Source organism: Homo sapiens, chromosome 2 (genome assembly GCF_000001405.40).
Source record: "Homo sapiens chromosome 2, GRCh38.p14 Primary Assembly".
In the NCBI taxonomy this organism is placed as follows: domain Eukaryota; kingdom Metazoa; phylum Chordata; class Mammalia; order Primates; family Hominidae; genus Homo; species Homo sapiens.
In genome coordinates, this window is record NC_000002.12 from 96091901 (window position 1) to 96110632 (window position 18732).

Consider the following 18732-nt stretch of genomic DNA (forward strand, 5'->3'; position numbering starts at 1 on the left):
GCAGTGTGAAAGGAGCCAGGTGGTGGGGGTGGTGCCCTCCCCAGGGGAAGCTTGGTGAGGCAGGCAGGGAATCGGGCCCTGGATCTTGGCTTCCTTAGCTGGAGCGGAGAGGCGTTTCCTGACGTATGGGAACACCTGGTGTGCAGTTACACGCTGGCTCCTGTAAACCTCCTCGCACCCATTCCCACTCAATGCTGCCTGGTAACAACACCTCTCCCTCTTCTGTCCCCTCCAGGCCCTTCCAGGCTTTGCAAAAGGAGATGGGTGTGGCCCCTGTGGGATTTCCCCAGTGCCCAACCCTGATGGCAGCTGCTGGCTCCTCCCTGTCCTCGTCCTCCCTCCCATCACAGGCCTCCTGCAACAACCACCCCACCCCCCAGAGCTGGCCCCCAGGACATGCCTGTTTTCAGGCTTGGCTTGCACTACCCTGCCTCGTCTCATGAACCTTGTGAGCCCTGTGCTCTCCCCAATCTACAGAGGATGGCCGGCTCCCCCAGAAAGGGGAGGGAGCTTGCCTGAGGTCGCACAGCAACAGGGGGTAGAGTCAGTCCATGAACTCACAGGGGTGTCCCGCAGGAATTGCTGCCACTTCCCTCCTGCCCTGGCCCTCCTCTCTATCTTCAGACCTCCACCCTTCCCTCCCACTGCAGGGTCCCTGGAGCTGAGGATATTATAACCATGCCCCACATACACACTCTTCCTTCCTGGTGCCCCAGGAATGGTGGGAAACCAATGCCCGCCTTTACTGGCAGAAGAAGCCAGAAAGGATCCCCAAAGGGCAAGAGGGAAGCTGGCAGCTGGGAGGCTCACCTGCAGGTCAGCCCTAGAGGCGCTCTGTGGCGGCCGGGGGAAGGTGGCAGCTGGGACAGGCTTAGAAGACAGGAGAGGAGGGAAAGGCTAAGGAGGCTCATGGTATTTAGGATCCTAGTTAAGGATCTTTACTCACTCAGCCATGTAATCCAATGAAGTATCAGCTTCAAGCCAGTGCCTAGGTGAAAATTGTTGATATTCTAATTCCTTCACAAACAGCTTCTGCATGTGCCCAAAGCTGTTGCTTCATCTCCTCCATATTTGGGCCTTGCCCCACCTCTCTCGCTGACAGGGTGGCATCCTGTGGGCAGAGGTCTGGGGCAGGCCCCTGGCAGGAATAACTCCTGTAGCACTGGCCTTTCTAGGGGCAGCACAGGGGAGGAGAGGGACCCTTTGGAGTCAGAGGCCTGGGTCTGCATGTCCAGCCTCTCATTTATGGGCTGTGTGCCCCTGGGCAAGTGGCTTCCCTTTTCAAGGATTCAGTTTCCTCTTGTGTAAATGGGCTAGTGTAGCCAAACTTTCAGGGTGGTTCTGAGGATCCCATGCTGGGCAGTTTACACCACACCCGGCACTCAGCAACCGGGAGCTCCCACTGTGACTTGCCAGAGTCTCAGCCACCTTGGGGCATTTCTTCTGTCCACTGTGCCATAGCCTTTAAGTCAGCTTCTGGAAAACCGAACTCCTTGTCTTGGTCTTCACTCCAGATCCTCCACTTAACTTCCACATTTCTGACCTGAGAATGACATTCCCCTATGCTGAGGCTAAAAGCTATGAAATAATCTTTAACTTTGTCTCTTGGCTTAAGTGGCCACCACGCTTTGATTAAGCCCCTCACTCAAATTTGCTTTCACCCCTTCACCCTTCACTCCATATTCAGACCAGGGTCAGGAACAGAGGCTGTCCATGGCAAGGGCCCATTCTGTATGAGCTACAGGGTGTGGGCTAGAGGTGGGGATACAGAGTGGGGGCCCTGCCCTCTGGGAGCTTCCACTCAAATGCAGGAGGACAACTTGCCCAATCTTCACCACGACAGAGGCAAGGGGCCAACAGTGCTGCTGACCATGAATGAATGGAAAGGCCACAGGGAGGAGGGGGCCTTTGGATGGTACCATGCAGAAGGAGGGTAAAGGCGTTCCAGGCTCGAGAACACTGACTGTTCATTTGATGATATTTAAGTGCCTGTTACGTACAGGAGGAGGCTTACACCAAGTAACTAGGACAGAAGACTCTGTTCTCAGAGGGTATATGAATTCAAACACGATTAGAATTATGGGGAAAATAAAACAAGGTCATGTGGCAGAGAGTGACAATGGGAGGCCTCTCTAAGGAGACATTTCCAGAAGATCTCAATGATAGAAAGGAGCCACATGAGACTGAAGGGAGAACATTCCAGGCAAAGGGAACAGCAAATAGACATATAGACTAGTGGAGTAGAATTGAGAGTCCAGAAATAAACCCAATATGTCTATAGTCCATTGATTTTCAACAAGAGCAGCCCGAACATTCAATGAGAAAAGAATAGTCTTTTTGATAAATGGTACTGGGAAAACTGGATATCCACATGCTAAATAATGAAAATGAAGCCCAACTTCACACCATCTATAAGAATTAACTCAAAATGGATCAGAGATCTTACATTTAGTAAGTGCTTAAACTATAAAACCCTTGGAAGAAAATATAGGGGTAAATATTCATGACCTTGGATTTGGTGATGAATTCTCAGCTATGACACCAAAAGTGTAAGCAACAAAAGAAAAAATAGGTAATTAGAATTCATCATAACTAAAAACTTGTTCCTCAAAGAATACCATCAAGAAAGTCAAAAGACAACCTACAGAATGGGAGAAAGTATTTGAAAATCAAATACTTACACACCTGATAAGGATCTAGTATCCAGAATACATAAAGAACTCTTTCAACTCAATAACAAAAAGACAAAGAACCCAACTGAAAAACTGGGCAAAGGACCTGAATAGGCATTTCTCCAAAGACAATATATGAATGGCCAAACAGCACATGAAAAGATGTTTAACATCACTGTTTGTTAGGGAAATGCAAATTAAAATCACAATGAGATACTACTTCACACTCGCTAGAATGATCAGAATTTTTAAAAGCAAACAATAAAAAGTGATATTACAGAGGTGGAGAAATTGGAACCCTCACACATTGCTGTTAAGAATGTAAAACGGTACAGCCGCTTTGGAAAACACTGGCAGTTCCTCAAAAAGCTCAACATAGAATTATCGTAGGGGGCCAGGCAAAGTGGCTCACGCCTGTAATCCCAACACTTTGGGAGGCCAAGGCGGGTGGATCACCTGATGTCAGGAGTTCGAGACCAGCCTGGCCAACATGGTGAAACCCCATCTCTATTAAAAATATAAAAATTAGCTGGGTGTGGTGGCAGGTGCCTGTAATCCCAGCCACTCAAGAGGCTGAGACAGGAGAGTCACTTGAATCCGGGGGCCGGAGGTTGCAGTGATCTGAGATCGTACCACTTGCACTCCAGCCTGGGCAACAGAGCAAAACTCTGTCACAAAAAGAAAAAAAAAAAGAATTATCGTAGGACCCAGCATTTCCGCTCCTAGGTACACACCCAAGAGAATTAAAAACAAGGACACTAATGTTCATAACAGTCCTAGTCACTATAGTTGGATGCAAGCCAAATGTCCCTCACCTGCTGAACAGATAAACAAAATGTGGTCTATCCACATTTCATTGCAAAAAGGAATGAAGTACTGATACCTGCTGCAACGTGGATGAACCTGGAGAAAATATGCTAAGTGAAAAAAGCCAGACACAAAAGGCCACAAATCATGCCATTTCATACCTATGAAATATGCAGACTAGGCAAATCCATAGAGACAGAAAATAGATTAACGGTTGCCAGGAGCTGTTGCAAGGCAGAAATGAGAAGTAATGCTTAATGGGAATGAGGTTTTCTTTTACGGTGATGAAAATATTCTGGACTGAGATACGGGTGATGGTTGTACAACATTGTGGATGTACTAAATGCCATTGAATTGTACATTTTTAATGGTTAATTTCACGTATTGGTAATTTTACCTCAATTTAAAAATACATTTTCTACTTCAGGAGGCCAAGGGGGGCAGATTGCTTGAGCCCAGAGTTCAAGACCAGCCTGGGAGACATGGTGAAACCCCATCTCTACAAAAAATACAAAAATTAGCCAGGCGTCGTGATGCACACCCATAGTCCCAGCTACTTGGGAGGCTGAAGTGGGAGGATCCCTTGAGCTCGGGAGGCAGAGGCTGCAGTGAGCCATGATCGCACCACTGCACTCCAGCCTGGGCAAGAGAGTGAGAACCTGTCTCAAAAAAAAAAAAAAATTCTGAGAAACTACCAATTTTCAGAATACATAAAGAATTTCTATAAGCCAGTAAGAAAAAGACCAAATAAAACAATTTTTTAATAGGTTAAAGGCTTGAACAGACACTTCATCAAAGAGGATATCCAAATAGCCAATAAGCACATGAAAATATGCTCAACATAACTAGCCACCAGGAAAATGCAAATTAAAACCCATTAGGATAGGATGGCAATTGTTAAAAAAAAAAAAAAAAAAAAAAAAAACAGAAAGAAAGGAAAATAACAAGTATTGGTGAGGATGTGGAGAAATTGAAACCCTTTTGTTCTGTTGGTGGAAATGTGAAATGCTGCAGCCACTGGGAAAAACAGTATTGCAGTTCCCTTTTTTTTTTTTTTTTTTTTTTTTTTGAGACAGCGTCTCATTCTGTTGCCCAGGCTGGAGTGCAGTGGCATGATCTCGGCTCACTGCTGCAACCTCTGTCTCCTGGGTTCAAGCGATTCTCCTGCCTCAGCCTCCCAAGTAGCTGGGATTACAGGCACCTGCCACTATGCCCGGCTAATTTTTGTATTTTTAGTATAGACGGGGTTTAACCATGTTGGCCAGGCTGGTCTCGAACTCCTGACCTCAGGTGATCCACCTGCCTCAGCCTCCCAAAGTGCTGGGATTACAGGCGTGAGCCACCGCACCCAGCTGAAAGCAAGATCTTGAAGAGATATTTGTACACCCATGTTCACAGAAGCAGGATTCACAAGAGCCAAAAGGTAGAAGCAACTCAAGTGTCCATGTACAGATGAACAGATGAACCAAATGTGGTTTGTACATACAATGGAAGATGATTCGGCCTTAAAAAGGAAGAAAATTCTGACATAGGCTAGAACATGGATGAAACTCGAAGCATTATGCTAAGTGAAAGAAGCCAGTCATTAAAAGACAAATACTGCATGATTCCACTGACATAAGGTACCTACAGTAGTCACAATCATAGAGACGGGGAGTAGAATGGTGGCTGCCAGGGGCTTGGGGGAGGGGAAGTGGGGAGATGCAGTTTTACATGATGAAAAGATTTCTAGGGAAGGATGGGGTTGATGACTGCCCAAGTTGTGAGTGCATTTAATACCACTGAACTGCGCACTTAAGGATGGTTAAGATGGTAAATGTTGTTATGTGTATTCGACCACAACTAAGAAAACTGGGAAGAAAACACTCCCTTCTTTTCCAAAAAAAAAAAAAATACCCACAAAGAGATACTACACACTCACCAGAATGACCAAAAGCAAGAAGACCAATAACACCAAATGCTGGCGAGGATGTGGAGCAACCGGAACTCTCAAACACTGGCGGTGGAAGTGTTCATTGGTAGGCTCACTTTGGAAGATTGAATATCCACGAAAGCTAAATATTTGCTTATCGTATGACCTAGTAACTCCACTTCTAGATATTTACCCAAAAGAAATGAAAGCTTCTGTGCACCAAAAGACATATGTATGAACGTTCCTATTGGCTTTACTTATAGTTGCCCCAAACTGGAAACAACCCAATGTTCATCAACAGGGAATGGATCAACAGTGATACATCCACACACTGGCATACCACTCAGAAATGAAAAGGAATGAACTCACGCTGAAACAACCTGGATGACTCGCCTAGACATTATATTAAGCAAAAGGAGCAAGACACAAGAGACTGTTTTGATTACATTTATATGAAAGTTCTAGAACAGGCAAAATTAATCCATGTGGTAGAAATCAGAATGGTGCTCCTTCTGGGTGGTATCGACTGAGAAGGGGCATGGGGGACTTGCCGGGGTGAAGAAAGCACCCTGCCACTTGTTCGGGGTGCTGCATGCCTCTGTAAACTGTCTCTGAGCTATACCCTAAAGGCTGCCATTCATTGTCTGATCTGGGTAATCATTTGTAAAGGTCCCTCTGAGTGCAAGGTAGAGAGGCGTTTGTAGAGGTCTCAGTCAGAAACGGGGGCCCTGAAAAACTGGCACATTCATCAGCAAGCATCCCCTAGCCCCCAAACCTGGCTAGTCAGACCTGAACCCCAGGAGCAGACCCAGTGTGGACCCCAAGCAAGAAGAGGTCTTTGGGAACGTTTTTTGTCCCACCACCCTGGCCTAGATGGCAAGGCCCAGGCCCAGAGAGGAGGAGGGACTCACCCCACAGTGCAGGGCAGCAGAGCGGGGCAGAAGCCAGGTTCCCTGCCTCCCAGCCCAGGGCTCACTCCCAGCAACAGGCTGTTCTCATAAAGATGCTCTGACGAAGGTGACAGTGTATCTTTTGAAAGTCCTAAAAGCATCTTTCTGGTAGGGCACAGGAGGGCAGGAGAGGGTCATTCTGAGACCAGATGGGGATGGACAAGGCATTTCCACCCCTCCTTGGCAGAACGAGGAAGGAACAGGGTCATAAGACCAGCAGTAGCAAGCTCTGAGGTGTCCAAAGAAATTAGGGCCCTGATGGGGCCACACTCCACCCAGGATCCAGTGGGTTCTGGCTCAAATTGAGAAGAGTCTGGGGAACTTGGAGAATAACCTACTTCCCTCAGAGAAAACAGAAAGGCCCTGCAGGAGAGGGGGTCCAGGACTGGCGGCTGCTGGGCAGAGCAGGCCAGGCCTGGACCTGGGCTCTCTGTAGTCCCAGTGTGGCAGTGAGCCCTGATTAGCCCCAAGACCTGCAGCTTCTAGATGAGGGATGGGGCTCACTTCTGAGGCTCCCACCATTGCCAGGCCTCTTTCTGGGTTGATAGCTAGGTGGCAGCCACCTTCTGCCTAAAGATCCCATCAACCTCAGAGGCTGCCACCAAGCCTTCAGGGCTCTCTGGAGCAAGAGGAATGGAGAAGGGAGGGTGGGGAGAGAGTGAGAGGACCTGGAGTTTGTGGTCCCCAGCTCCCTGAAATCCTTTACCCTGGTCTGGAAGAGGCTCTGTCGATGAATCCTGGCTGTTAAAAATAACCCACCTCTCCATCATCCCGACAGCCGCGCTCCGGGACAGTGTGTTCCAAGGCCAGGCTACTCTCCAGGGACAGGAGCTGTGGGGCAGGAAGGGCTGTGGATTCTCCAGGCCAGCCCAGGCTGGGAGAGAGGCCCACAGCCCTGCATCTCAGTCCAGGCATCCCAGCCACACGTGAGTCTACCTGCCTCCCAAGACCCTGGGTGTCAGGTCCAGTGACAAGGGCCTCCGGGTTCCAAGGGTGCTGCAGCTACCCCAGAGGCTCATGTTGTTACAGGATCTGTGGGCCTCTCCCGGTGACCTGGAACTCGCTTCCCCCTTACATAGAATTCAGCAAAGAGGACACTGTGCCACGTGGCTTCCTCCTCTGATTCTCAAAAATGCCTCTGGCTGGGACCACAGGGGGCTTGACAGGAATCAAGGAGACGGAGGGACTTGGGTGTGTGTAAAGCCCACATCCTTGTCCCACAGATGCAGTCCTCTCTCTGCTGCCATCCCCTCTGCATAGCACTCAGGGCTAAGAGCCCAGGCTCTGGAGGCAGATAGACCTGGGTTCAAATCCTAACACAGCCCTAACTACAGTGAGACTTGAGAAAGTTACTTAACCTCTCTGTGCCCTGATTCTCTCATTGATAAAATAGATAACTGTGGCTCTAACCTTGTAGGGTTGCTACGAAGCTAGATGAGTTCCCAGTGTTCCTAAATGCAGGGCCCGACACACAGTAAGAAAGAATGAGGAGGAGGAGAAGGAGGAGGTGGAGGAAGGGGAGGGGGAGATGAAGGGGGAGGGGAGAGAAATGAGGAGGGGGAGAGGCAGAAGGAAGAGAAGGGGAGGGGAGGAGGAGGAATGGGAGGAGGGGAGAGGAGTAGGAGGAAGGGGAAGAGGAAGGGGAGGGGGAGGAGGAGAAAGGGGAGGGGGAGGGGAAGAAGGACAAAGAGGAGGGGGAGGGTGAGAAGGAGAAAGAGGAAGGGGACCGAGAGGAAGAAGTCGTCCATCCAGCATCCTGGTTAAGAGCATTGGCTATGGAGTGGAATTTCATGTCCCACTTCCTCTACTGACCAGCTGTGTGGCCTTGAGCCAGTTGCTTGACCCTTCTGGTCTCTAATTTCCTGAGCTGTAAAATGGAAAGATGACCCCTCCTGGAACCATTGTGTGGCCTCTGTGTGGGTGCCCTTAGGATGGTGCTGAGCAGAAGTCGGCACTGGACAAGTGTGTGAAGCCCCAGTCAGGACAGCAGGAGAGCTGGAACCCCAGAGACTGTTGAGCTGAAGCTGGGGCGGGGTTGGGGTTGGGGTAAGGGCAGCTCCCTTGGCCACACTTCTGCAAGAGCAGTTAGGCCTTCCTGGCCACGCACACCACAGAGGCTGGAAGCTCTTGGGCGTGCAGCAACATGCCCACCCTGGGCTCACCTCACCCCAGGCTGGAGAGCCCGAGGGGCTTCCTGAGGCTCCTGCAGAGCAGACCCATCCAAGGCAGCAGGCCCCGCCTGTCCCCACCAGCCACCTTCCCACAACCCCACTGCATGCAGGGATGCGGGCAGAAGGAGGGAGGGAGAGCGAGAAGGGACCGAGGGAAACCAAGAGAGGAGGCTCAGGGTCCAGGAAGAAGGAAGGAGAGAGGAGAGAGTGAGGGAAAGGGAGCGGAGAGAGACCCAGGAACACAAAGGGAGACAGAGAAGAAATTTAGAAACAGAGGAGTGATCTCTCTAAAAAACTAAAATGGGAGGGAGGAAGACCAGCTGTGGAACCCCAAGGAGGGCTGTGAGGGACAGTGATGGAGCTTGGGGAGCTGGAGACAGCCTGACCCCCCTGCAAACAGGGCTTTTATCTAAGGATGGGTAAGATGTTGTTATGACAACAGATGTAGCATTTAGGGTAATTCCTGGTGAATAACCAAGAGAAGAGGTGGCAGCTCTGGTGGGTGCTGCAGTCCAAAAACAGGGTCTCAGAGGCAGCCCCAGGCCCCATTCGCCCCTGCCTCATTCCAGACCCTTCCCTCCACCTGAGCCTAGCCAGGACCTTCCTAGTCCCTGAGGCCAGGCCACCCCAGGACAGACCTTCTGAGCCACAGCCAAGCACCCAGGTCCCACCTCCTCACCCATCCTGCCTAGGGCTGACAGCAAACCCAGGCCCTGTGCATGGACACTGCCTCCGTGACAAGCATCTCAACCTAACTCTCCTCAGGACCCTGAGAGTGAGATGCAGCAGGAACCTCATTTTACAGATGATAATATAAGAGTCAGAGAAGTTGAGTAACTTCTCTGAGGTCACACAGCAACTAAACTGCTCTACACGGTCCCACCCCAGATCATTCCCAGGGCCAAGAACTGCTCCTGGGCAGATCTAGAGACAGGCTATTCTTACAAACCTCATCCCCTAGCACTTTCTGGAAAAAGTTAGAGACAGCACTTGTGGATGAGAAGAAAAGGAGAGACAGAAAGCGTTTTCTGCACCTGGCTCTCTACAACACTACACCACTGTGGCCCTTGAGATGATTATTTCTATTGCAACCCACTGGACACTCCCAGTATTTGGGAAATACTACAGGGTAACTGTGGGGCCTGGGCTCTATTTGGTGGAATCTCTCAAGTCTGGGGGACCCTGAAGGCCAAGGCTCCCATCCAGCCCCCTCCAGCCTAGGGGAGCTCCATGAAGCCTGCGGCATCCACAGCTGCCCTTTCTCCTCTGTCCTCTGGGCCATTGGCCTCACACCCACAGAACCTCCTGGACATCCACCCCAGGACTGCCTGGTCCACGGGAGGGACGCATCCCAGCCCTAGGGAGCTCGGAGGGTAGGGAGAGGGAGCCAAGAGCTGGGGCAGCCAAGAGCTGGTGGGGGGGGCGCAGCCTCTGCAGAGGGCCTGCTTGTCGGTGGATCCCAGGCTCTGGGAGGATGAAGCCCTGGCCTTTCACATGCCTCGGGGCTCCTGCCCCAAGCCCAGATCTCTGCCTGGCTGGCATCACTGGGATGACAGAGGGGTCTCTTAACAGCCTCCAGGGTCATCGCAAGGGAGCTTCCTCAAGGACAGGACCCAGACCCCAGCACCTCCCTGAAATAACACCCTGGACCTGGAAAGGCAGGCCAGGGGTGAGGGGCGACCCAGCTGGGAGAGAAGAGAGCCCAGAGGCTGGGGGCTTCCAGGGGCTCCAAGCTGACTGCGCCTGAGGAGTGGGGCTGTTGAGCAGGAAGGGATGTGTGTGTGTGTGTGTGTGTGTGTGTGTGTGTGTGTGTGTGTGTGTGAGAGAGAGAGAGAGAGAGAGAGAGATTACTAATGTGATGGAACTGTAGTCGGTGAGGCAGAGCTGAGGAATTTTTTTTTTTTTTGAGTCAGAGTCTTCGCTCTGTCACCCAGGCTGGAGTGCAGTGGCACAATCTTGGCTCACTGCAACCTCTGCCTCCCAGGTTCAAGCGATTCTCCTGGCTCAGCCTCCTGAGTAGCTGGGACTACAGGCACATGCCACCATGGCCCGCTAATTTTTGTGAGTTTTTTTGTTTTTTGAGATGGAGTTTCACTCTTGTTGCCCAGGCTGGAGTGCAATGGCGCAATCTCGGCTCACTGCAACCTCTGCCTCCGGGGTTCAAGCGATTCTCATACCTCAGCCTCCCTAGTAGCTGGGATTATAGGTGCCCGCCACCATGTCCAGCTAATTTTTTTGTATTTTTAGTAGAGATGGGGACTCACTGTGTTGGCCAGGCTGGTCTCGAACTCCTGACTTCAGGTGATCCGCCTGTCTCCGCCTCCCTAAGTGCTGGGATTACAGGTGTGAGCCACCGCGCCCAGCCAAGCTGATGACTTTGAGCCCTTCTAGAGAATTCTTCAACAGAAGATTTGATTTAAACAAAGAGAAGAGGAGGAATTGAGGAGAGGGAGTGCAGGGAGCTAAGGTCCTGCAGGACAGCCCTTCGTGCAAGCTGCCCCACTGCGTTGGACTCCCTTGCATGCCCCTGGATGCAGGTCTGTCCCTGCAGCTGTGGATGCCCTAGGTTGACAGGGGCTGAACATCCCCAAAGAGCTCGCAGCCAGCTGTGATCAGAGTGGCGCAGGTAAACTGCAACAGGCACTCAGCGGAGCGAGAGCTGCCCTCCGTGGCCCTGCACTGAGGCTCCAGGACAGCGGGTGAACCGCAATCTCAGGCAGTCAGGGTTCACCCCAACAGAGGGAGGTGGAGGGAAAGGAGGTGCACTGGTCACAGGTGGCCCCAGCCCAGGCCTGGGGAACTGGTGTGCCCAGGGGAGGCAAGGGGCCTGGGCAGAGTGAGAGCAGCCTGCATCTTCTGCGGCTCCACCTAGGCCAGAGTATGGACATGAGAGGCTGTGTTCGAGCCACCCAGGTAAGGTCTGGAGCCAGGATGGGAAGGGGGCTCCCCACTGGCCATGAAAGGCAGAGGGCTTGGGGCCCCCACACATTTACCCCTCAGTGATATCTGGAAGCCTGGCAGGTAGGCTGAGATGGGTGTCATGTGAACCCGATGGCTGCGGGACAGCTAGGGCCCGCCTGCCCCCGGCACTCCCATCCACACCCAGAGGCCTGTTCTCACAACTGCAGGCCACCCTTCCCTCCTGCTGCTGCTCCTCATAGTAGTGTGGGCTGATGCCCCACGCAGACGGCTGTGCCCTGTGTGTGTACAGACCTGGGCTCTAGAGTGGCTCCAAGCATCATCAGACACAGGACCTGGGATACATCCCTAAACCACCTGGGCCAGATTTCTTCATTTGCAGAACAGAAGGGCTAGAAATCAAATTCAAAGCACCACGTTGTTCTCTTCCTCCAAGCAGGCTCTTGGAAACCTGGTTCCTTTTGCCTGCACTCAACGGGGTCCTGTCTCCCGCCCTCCACTGACTGGGTTTCTAAGACATTCTCAGGACACAAGGGTGCTGGGTGTGCAGCAGGGCTCCAGAAGACCCGTGCCCTTACCAGATCCAGGGGGTAACAGCCTGAGACTTCAGGCCAGAGAAAAGAAAACAAGTTTGTTGGACGCCTTCAGCTGTGACTGCTGTCTCCTCCCCTTTTCCTCCTCCCTGTCTTGTCCCCCTCCTCCTCTTCCCCCTCCATCTCTGGCTCCCCTTCTTCTTCCTCTCCCCCCTTCCTCCTCCTCCTCCTCTTCCTCTTTTTCCTTCCCTTCCTCCTCTCCCCCTCCTACCCCCTCCTCCTCCTCCTTTTCCTTCCCTTCCTCCTCTCCCCCTCCTCCCCCCCCTCTCCCCCTCTTTCCCCCTCCTCCCCCATCCCCTCCCTCTTCCCCCTCCTCCTCCTTCCTCTCCCTCCTTTCCCCAACTTCCCCTGCTCCTCTGCACTCGAGGGCAGCTCCTGACACTCATCACTCTTCTCCACTTCCTGGAGACAGGAGACTCTGATATCCTAGCTTATTTTAGTCAGCTGCCTCCTGGAGCCTGGCTGCTGGCCTGGGGCCTCGCTGGCCTGGGGCCTCCCTGCCCTGTCCCTTGCCCCTGAGGGGGCAGCCTGGGGCCAGAAGTCACCTCAGAACATGAGCAAGCCCACACCCAAGCCACAATCTGGATAGCATGCCCCCTGTTCCCCTTCTCCTGCCTGTGAAGCTGGCCTCAAGCCCTCGGTAGGGTGCCACCCTCCCACAGACCCTCCTCCCTGCTCCCCACCAAGGCCCACCCACTCGGGTACCCGCTGATCCTTGCCTTCCCCAAGGGTCACTCACGCCATCCCTCAGTGCTCTGTGCCCCTGGCACCAGTGGCTTGACCCCATCTCACAGCCAGGGTTCAAGGTGGTGTTGGCTCTCTGAGGCCTTTGAGCCTGGCATGGAGCTTAGTGCACTGGAGACTAGTGTCAAGGTAGATTTGACACAGGGCACTCTAAATTGTGTACCCCGGACCAGCGGTCCATCCTGTTTCTGCAGCTGAGATGGGTGCAGTGGCAAAGGGCACGTGCCTACCTCCAAGGTCTCCAGTAATTCCCTTCCAGCCCCAAACTTGCCCATCCTACTCAGCAACACCAACACTGTGCTGCAAGGGCACTCAGCCCTGCCGCCCTCCACAAGGGCCACTTAAGAAACAAACAGCATCTGTTGTTGTTCAAGCTTGTCTCTGGAGGCCTCAATTATTCCTCCCTCTCTGGGAGGAGATCTCATAAATATAGTTTTCTCCATCTCACCACTTTTCCTGGGATATTTTTGCACCCCTGAGAGACTGGTGTCAGGGGCCACTGACAAGCCAGGCCAGCCCTTCCATTTTCACTATTTGCTGGGCATTGTCACACATGATCCTGGGATGCACAGGGAATGAGACAGAAATATCTTGACACACATGGATGAGGGCCCCCTGTGTTGCCAGGATGGGAACTGCAGGGTTGGCCCCATTGCTGTGGAGCACTGTGCTGGTGGAGGGAATTGGGGCACAAGTTCCACTCCTGGAGCATGGGGAGCAATGATGCCCACCATGGAACCAGGCAATCAGACTCACAGGCAGCACCAGAGGCCATTCAACTGTGTGGGCTCAGGCGGTGCTTGAACCATCCTTGCCTTGCTTTCCATGCTTCTGAGAGAATAGGACCTCCAAGTGCCCCTGCCTCCCTTCACCACCCTTCCTGCCCATCTTCAGCCTAAGTCAAGGTATGCTGGCTCAAGAAGCTCTCACCCCACCAACACCTACCCTTCTCTCTGCTCACTGGCTGTGTTTCTGATGCAGGCTTCTTCAAATATCAGGGTCCTCCTGAGTGCTGACATTTGACCCCTGGATGCCCCTACTGCAGCAGCAGCACAGGAATCCTAGAGGTCTCCGGAGATGGCCCTCTTTACTGCCCTGGATGACACCCCTCACACCAGGGTGGGCAGCCCTTTCCCCTGCACCCATCAAGGACAAGGCTGGGGTTCTCCACAGATCTGAGGGACAAACAGTTTCATCTTTCACACCAGCAATTGTTTTCCACCTGGGACTCCCTGCAACTTCGTCTCTAGTCATGGAGAGAGCTCTGGGGCCCATTACTGATGTCTGGAATGGGCACAGCAAGAAGGGCATAGGCTCACATGTGGCACATTTGACACAGCTGCCTGAGAACCTTCCCCTACTAGCTCCACACTGGAGAGGGCCTGCTGAAGCTCTCCATGGGAGAGTCCTGGAGCCCATGAAAGCATGGGGTGAGAGCAGGCAGGACACAGGGCAGAGTCCACCCTCCTTCCATCAGGCCTCTGAGCAGGAGTCAGAGGACAACTGGGGCAAGGAGTTCTGCCCACCCACTTTGAAGAGAACCTGAGGGTCCAGAGGATTAAATGTAATGGGTCTGCCATTTGCAGGTGCCCGTCTGTACCCTCACACTCTATAGGAACACCTTACATGTCATCTCTACCTCTCAACACGCTCCTCAATCTTAAAGTAGTTGATGTTATCACATTTATTTATTTATTTTAATTATTTTCTCCCTCACTTTTTTTTCTTTTTGATACAAGGTCTTGCTCCATTGCCAGGCTGGAGTGCAGTGGTGCAAGCACAACTCATTACAGCTTCGAACTCCTGGGCTCAAGCGATCCTCCCACCTCAGCCCCCCAAATGGCTGGGACCCCAGGCGCACGCCACCACACCTGGCTAATTTTAAAAAATTTTTGTAGAGGTGGGATTTCACTATGTTGCCCAGGCTAGTTTCCAACTCCTGGGCTCAAGTGATCCTCCTGCCTCGGCCTCCCAAAGCGCTGAGATTTCAGGCATGAGCCACCACACCTGGCCCTTTTTCTTCTTTCTTTCTTTTTTTTTTTGAGATGGAGTCTCACTCTGCCGCCCAGGCTGGAGGTGCAGTGGCGCAATATCAGCTCACTGCAAGCTCCGCCTCCCAGGTTCATGCCATTCTCCTGCCTCAGCCTCCCCAGTAGCTGGGACTACAGGCACCCGCCACCACGCCCAGCTAATTTTTTGTATTTTTTGTAGTAGAGACGGGGTTTCACCATGTTAGCCAGGATGGTCTCGATCTCCTGACCTCGTGATCCACCCACCTTGGCCTCCCAAAGTGCTGGGATTACAGGCGTGAGCCACCGCGCCCGGTCCACGTGGCACATTTTAAATGTGAGCAAGTCAAGGCTCAGAGAGGTTTAGCGGTCTGTCTGAGACCATATATCTGGTAAGCAGTAGAGCCAGCTGTGACTCCAAAGCCAGTGCTCTTTCCATGCTGCTCCAGGAATGGCCCCAACCATGCCCTCTCTCTGCCCATCCCCTCTCTGTCGGGCCCTGTCTGAGCCTCTGCTCTCTGGGTCTGGTCCCTGCCACCACCTCTGCAGATGCCCTGGTGCATCCCGGGTGCTGTGGGGACAGTTCTCCTGCCTCTAGCTCAGCCAAGGCCAGGATGGAATTTTCCAACAGAATTTCTCTAGGAAACTATGGAGAAAACAAAACAAAACAGAAAATGAAAACCCCAAATCAGAGACACACTCCCAGAGCCCAGGGTCCCCAGCCTTAGATAACCAAGGCTGCCCCAGTTTGCTGGGAAAACTCACTTCTCCAACAAATATTTACTGGGCAGCTGCTCCGGGCCAGGCTCTGCCAGAGGGCGAGGAGCACAGGTACAGACGAGGTAGCCAAGTCCCTGCCCTCTCAGGCTGTCCTCTCAGAGGAGGTCCCTGGGCACAGACCCAGCCCTGCTGGGGTGAAAGCAGGTCTGTTGTTAGGAGCTGCATCTTCTCCTGCATCATCCTGAGCCATGACCCCATGGGAGCCCGCTTTCCCAGAGCCCACCTCCCCACTTGCCCCTCCCAGAGTATCTCACCCACTTCCTCCTCTGTTGCCCCCCAACTCCAGTGCCCCTCCCAGCCTTACTATAGACACCATGTCCCGCCCAGGCAGGTGGCCACTCCCCTCTCCCACCCGCTTCCACCTGCCCTGGGGAATGTCTTTCAAGATGACCCTTCTGGGGCTCAGCCACCTAGATTTCACCAGGACACAGGTGAGGGGTGTGACTTGAGCCCAGGTGGGGTTGGGGGATGGAGGCTATGTGGGTGCAGGCTGGAGGGCAGAGGAGGAAGCCTGGTGAGCAGGGAGGAGAGCTGCTTCCTGAACAATCAACAAGTAGAAAGGTGGGGGGAGCGGGGGGCAGGAGGCTTCAGTTTCCCCTCATCTCTCCTGGGGCAGCACCCAAAACATCATTAGAACCATGCTCCTGTCCGACCCCCTCACTTGACAAGAAGGCATCTGAAACCCAGAGAGGTGAGCAGCCTTGCCCAGGGCCACCCAGCAATTTGGTGGGCCTCCTAGGATCACGTCCTGAGCCTCTAGACTCCGAGACAGCTGAGGAATCCCTCAAAGAGCTGCCAGCTAGGTGCCCACCCAAATCCAGCTGCCAGGCCAGCAGGGGCAGAGGGGCTGCAGCCTGAGGGGATTTGCAGCTGAACAGCTGCATCAAAGCTGCACCTGACAAACAGGGACCAGTGGAGCCTGCTGCTGTGGCTGCTCCACCAGCCTTTCCCGCACTGGGAGGAGGAAAGCTGTGTTTAACCCTTGGCTCCCCAACAATTGACTGGGGAATCCAAGCAGTGGGCCCAGGTAGTCTCTCATGCTCCGTTCAAGGCTGTGGCTGGGCTGGGCTGGGCTGCGACACCAGGACACCTGGATCCCCCACACCACAGCCCAGCCCTCTTCCCTCTTAAAGCAGCTCCAGTCCCCATGGGTGGGGAGGAAATTCCATCTGAGTCCCAGCTGCTCTGAGATTGGTGGGGTCCACTCTGCAGCTCCAGAAGGGGCCTGCCCTCTCCCCGGGGAAATCAAAGGTCAGGACCCTCAGCACCTCCCCCGCCTGCCCTGCCGGAGAGCTGGGGGCCCCATGGGCTGCCACAAGGACAGAAATAGCCCTGACTTTCCAGGGAGGGAGGCTCTTTTTTGGTCTCCAGTCTGTTCCAGTCCCCTCACAGGCACCACTGCTCCATGGAGCCCGTAAGCTCAGGAAGAGCCAGGACCATCCCCCTGGGCAAGGCAGGGGTCAGGGGATCAGCAGGAGGCAACAGGAGGCTTGGAGGAGGGGGAGTCGCTGAGGACCCGGAAGTGGGAAGGGCCAGGATAGGGGAAGGGAGGAAGGGAGGAGAAGGGAGAGCAGAGGAAGTTGGGAACATAGAATCCCAGGGGGTAGTGGTGCGCAGTAAAGGGGCACCTCATCCTGAAATCACTGCTGATCAATCGCTGGCCTCAAGGCCACGCCAAGGGCAGGAGCCTTTGGCCAGGGTCAGTCCAGGGTGTGAGAAGATCAGAGCAGACAAGCCCGGGGGAGGGTGCGAGCTGACATCCAGGCCCTTCCAGCCCTGGCCTTCTGACAACAGCCTTTCCCAAGCCCAGATGGAAGAGCGGACGGATGCGGGAGCACGAAGAATCCCGGAATCTAATTTTAGCCCAGAGTTCCCCGCCTCCCCTGCTGACAGTGAGCAGAGCCTGGGAGGGTGGTAGCCTTGCACCCCCTGCCAGGGGTCCTGCTCTCGTGGAAGGGCCAGCCAACAGGGAGAGCTGCCAAGAGTGGCTGGGGTCAGCAGGTGAGGCTCCCAAGCTCACACAGGGCAGGGGCGTTGCTGGACTGGGAAGGACCCAGAGCCTGAGCTCTGGTGCTGGAGGCAGGGCTGGTGAAGAGGCAGAGGTTGATGCTGGAGGCAGGGCTGTTGAGGAGGCAGAGTGAGGCCAGTGGGTGACACCACTGAGATGAGACTGGGTACGTTTATGTCCTGGTTCTGGATAACCTCAGCCAATTGCCTCTGCCTCAGTTTCCTTGCCTGTGAAATAGGCATAGTAATCACATCAATTTCAGATGATGCGTATCCGGCCCTAGACCCTAATGTCTTAGGACTGTCATGATTGCTTTCACCACGGCATATCTCAGAGGGCCCCAAACTGATCTGTTACTCCAGAACTGGTGCTTAACTTTGTGCTGAGGTACAAAGGTGAGGAAAACACCACCGCCATCCTGCCCATGAGCCTGATGCTAAGAACAACTGATTAACTCCAGGAACCTTCATGTCTGGACCTCCCAGGGAGCTGGGGCAGGGAGTGGCAGTGGGGGGAAGGCAGAGATGGAGCCCCAAGCTGGGGAACCCTGGGGACCGCAGGGGCAATCCTGCATGGGCAGACAAGGACACCAAGGCCCAGAGAGGGACCGAGTCCTGCCTAAGGACAGCCCAACAGGTGGTGGCAGGGACAGGACATGAATCCTGAGTTCCCCACCTTCTCCTGCCCTCCCACCCACAGCAACCAGGATCTGGGAGCAGAAAGCCCCACCAGTGCCAGGGAAGCCAAAGGCTGCCCAGGTCCGACTCCAGCTGGGCAGATGCCTCCTCCCCAGCCAGCAGCAACCCCATTTGCAGGTGGGAGTTGGGCAAGGTCTCAGACCCCTTGCCAGTGGCCCCCCACACACAGGGTGGGGACCATGCAGAGGATGGGGAGAGGGTCCAGGGCCAGATGAAGCCACAAGCCTCCTCCACCTTGAGCACTGATGGCAGATCAGCTGGGCCCTCCTGCCACAGGTCCCTTCTTAAACAAGTGTCAGGAGTCCCTTCAGCCACAGTGCTCCAAAGAGGAGTTCTCAGCAGCCCCAAAGTTCTCAGCAGCTATCCCAAGGTAGAGCTGGCTCTTAAGGCCCTCTCAAGGGTATCCTTGCCAACTAAGGACCCAGGCTCTCAGAGGGGAGGTGCCACTGTGGGATATTCCTCATCCTGC

At 53.7% G+C, this 18732-nt stretch overlaps 2 annotated features.

The window, feature by feature from the left end:
- Positions 341–856: an enhancer, noted in NCBI's record as "H3K4me1 hESC enhancer chr2:96757989-96758504 (GRCh37/hg19 assembly coordinates)". NCBI's record gives its function as "activates a minimal SCP1, AML or CMV promoter by ChIP-STARR-seq in primed H9 embryonic stem cells {active_cell/tissue: H9 hESC(primed)}" and the evidence as "EXISTENCE:reporter gene assay evidence [ECO:0000049][PMID:30033119]".
- Positions 16871–17858: an enhancer, noted in NCBI's record as "H3K27ac-H3K4me1 hESC enhancer chr2:96774519-96775506 (GRCh37/hg19 assembly coordinates)". NCBI's record gives its function as "activates a minimal SCP1, AML or CMV promoter by ChIP-STARR-seq in primed H9 embryonic stem cells {active_cell/tissue: H9 hESC(primed)}" and the evidence as "EXISTENCE:reporter gene assay evidence [ECO:0000049][PMID:30033119]".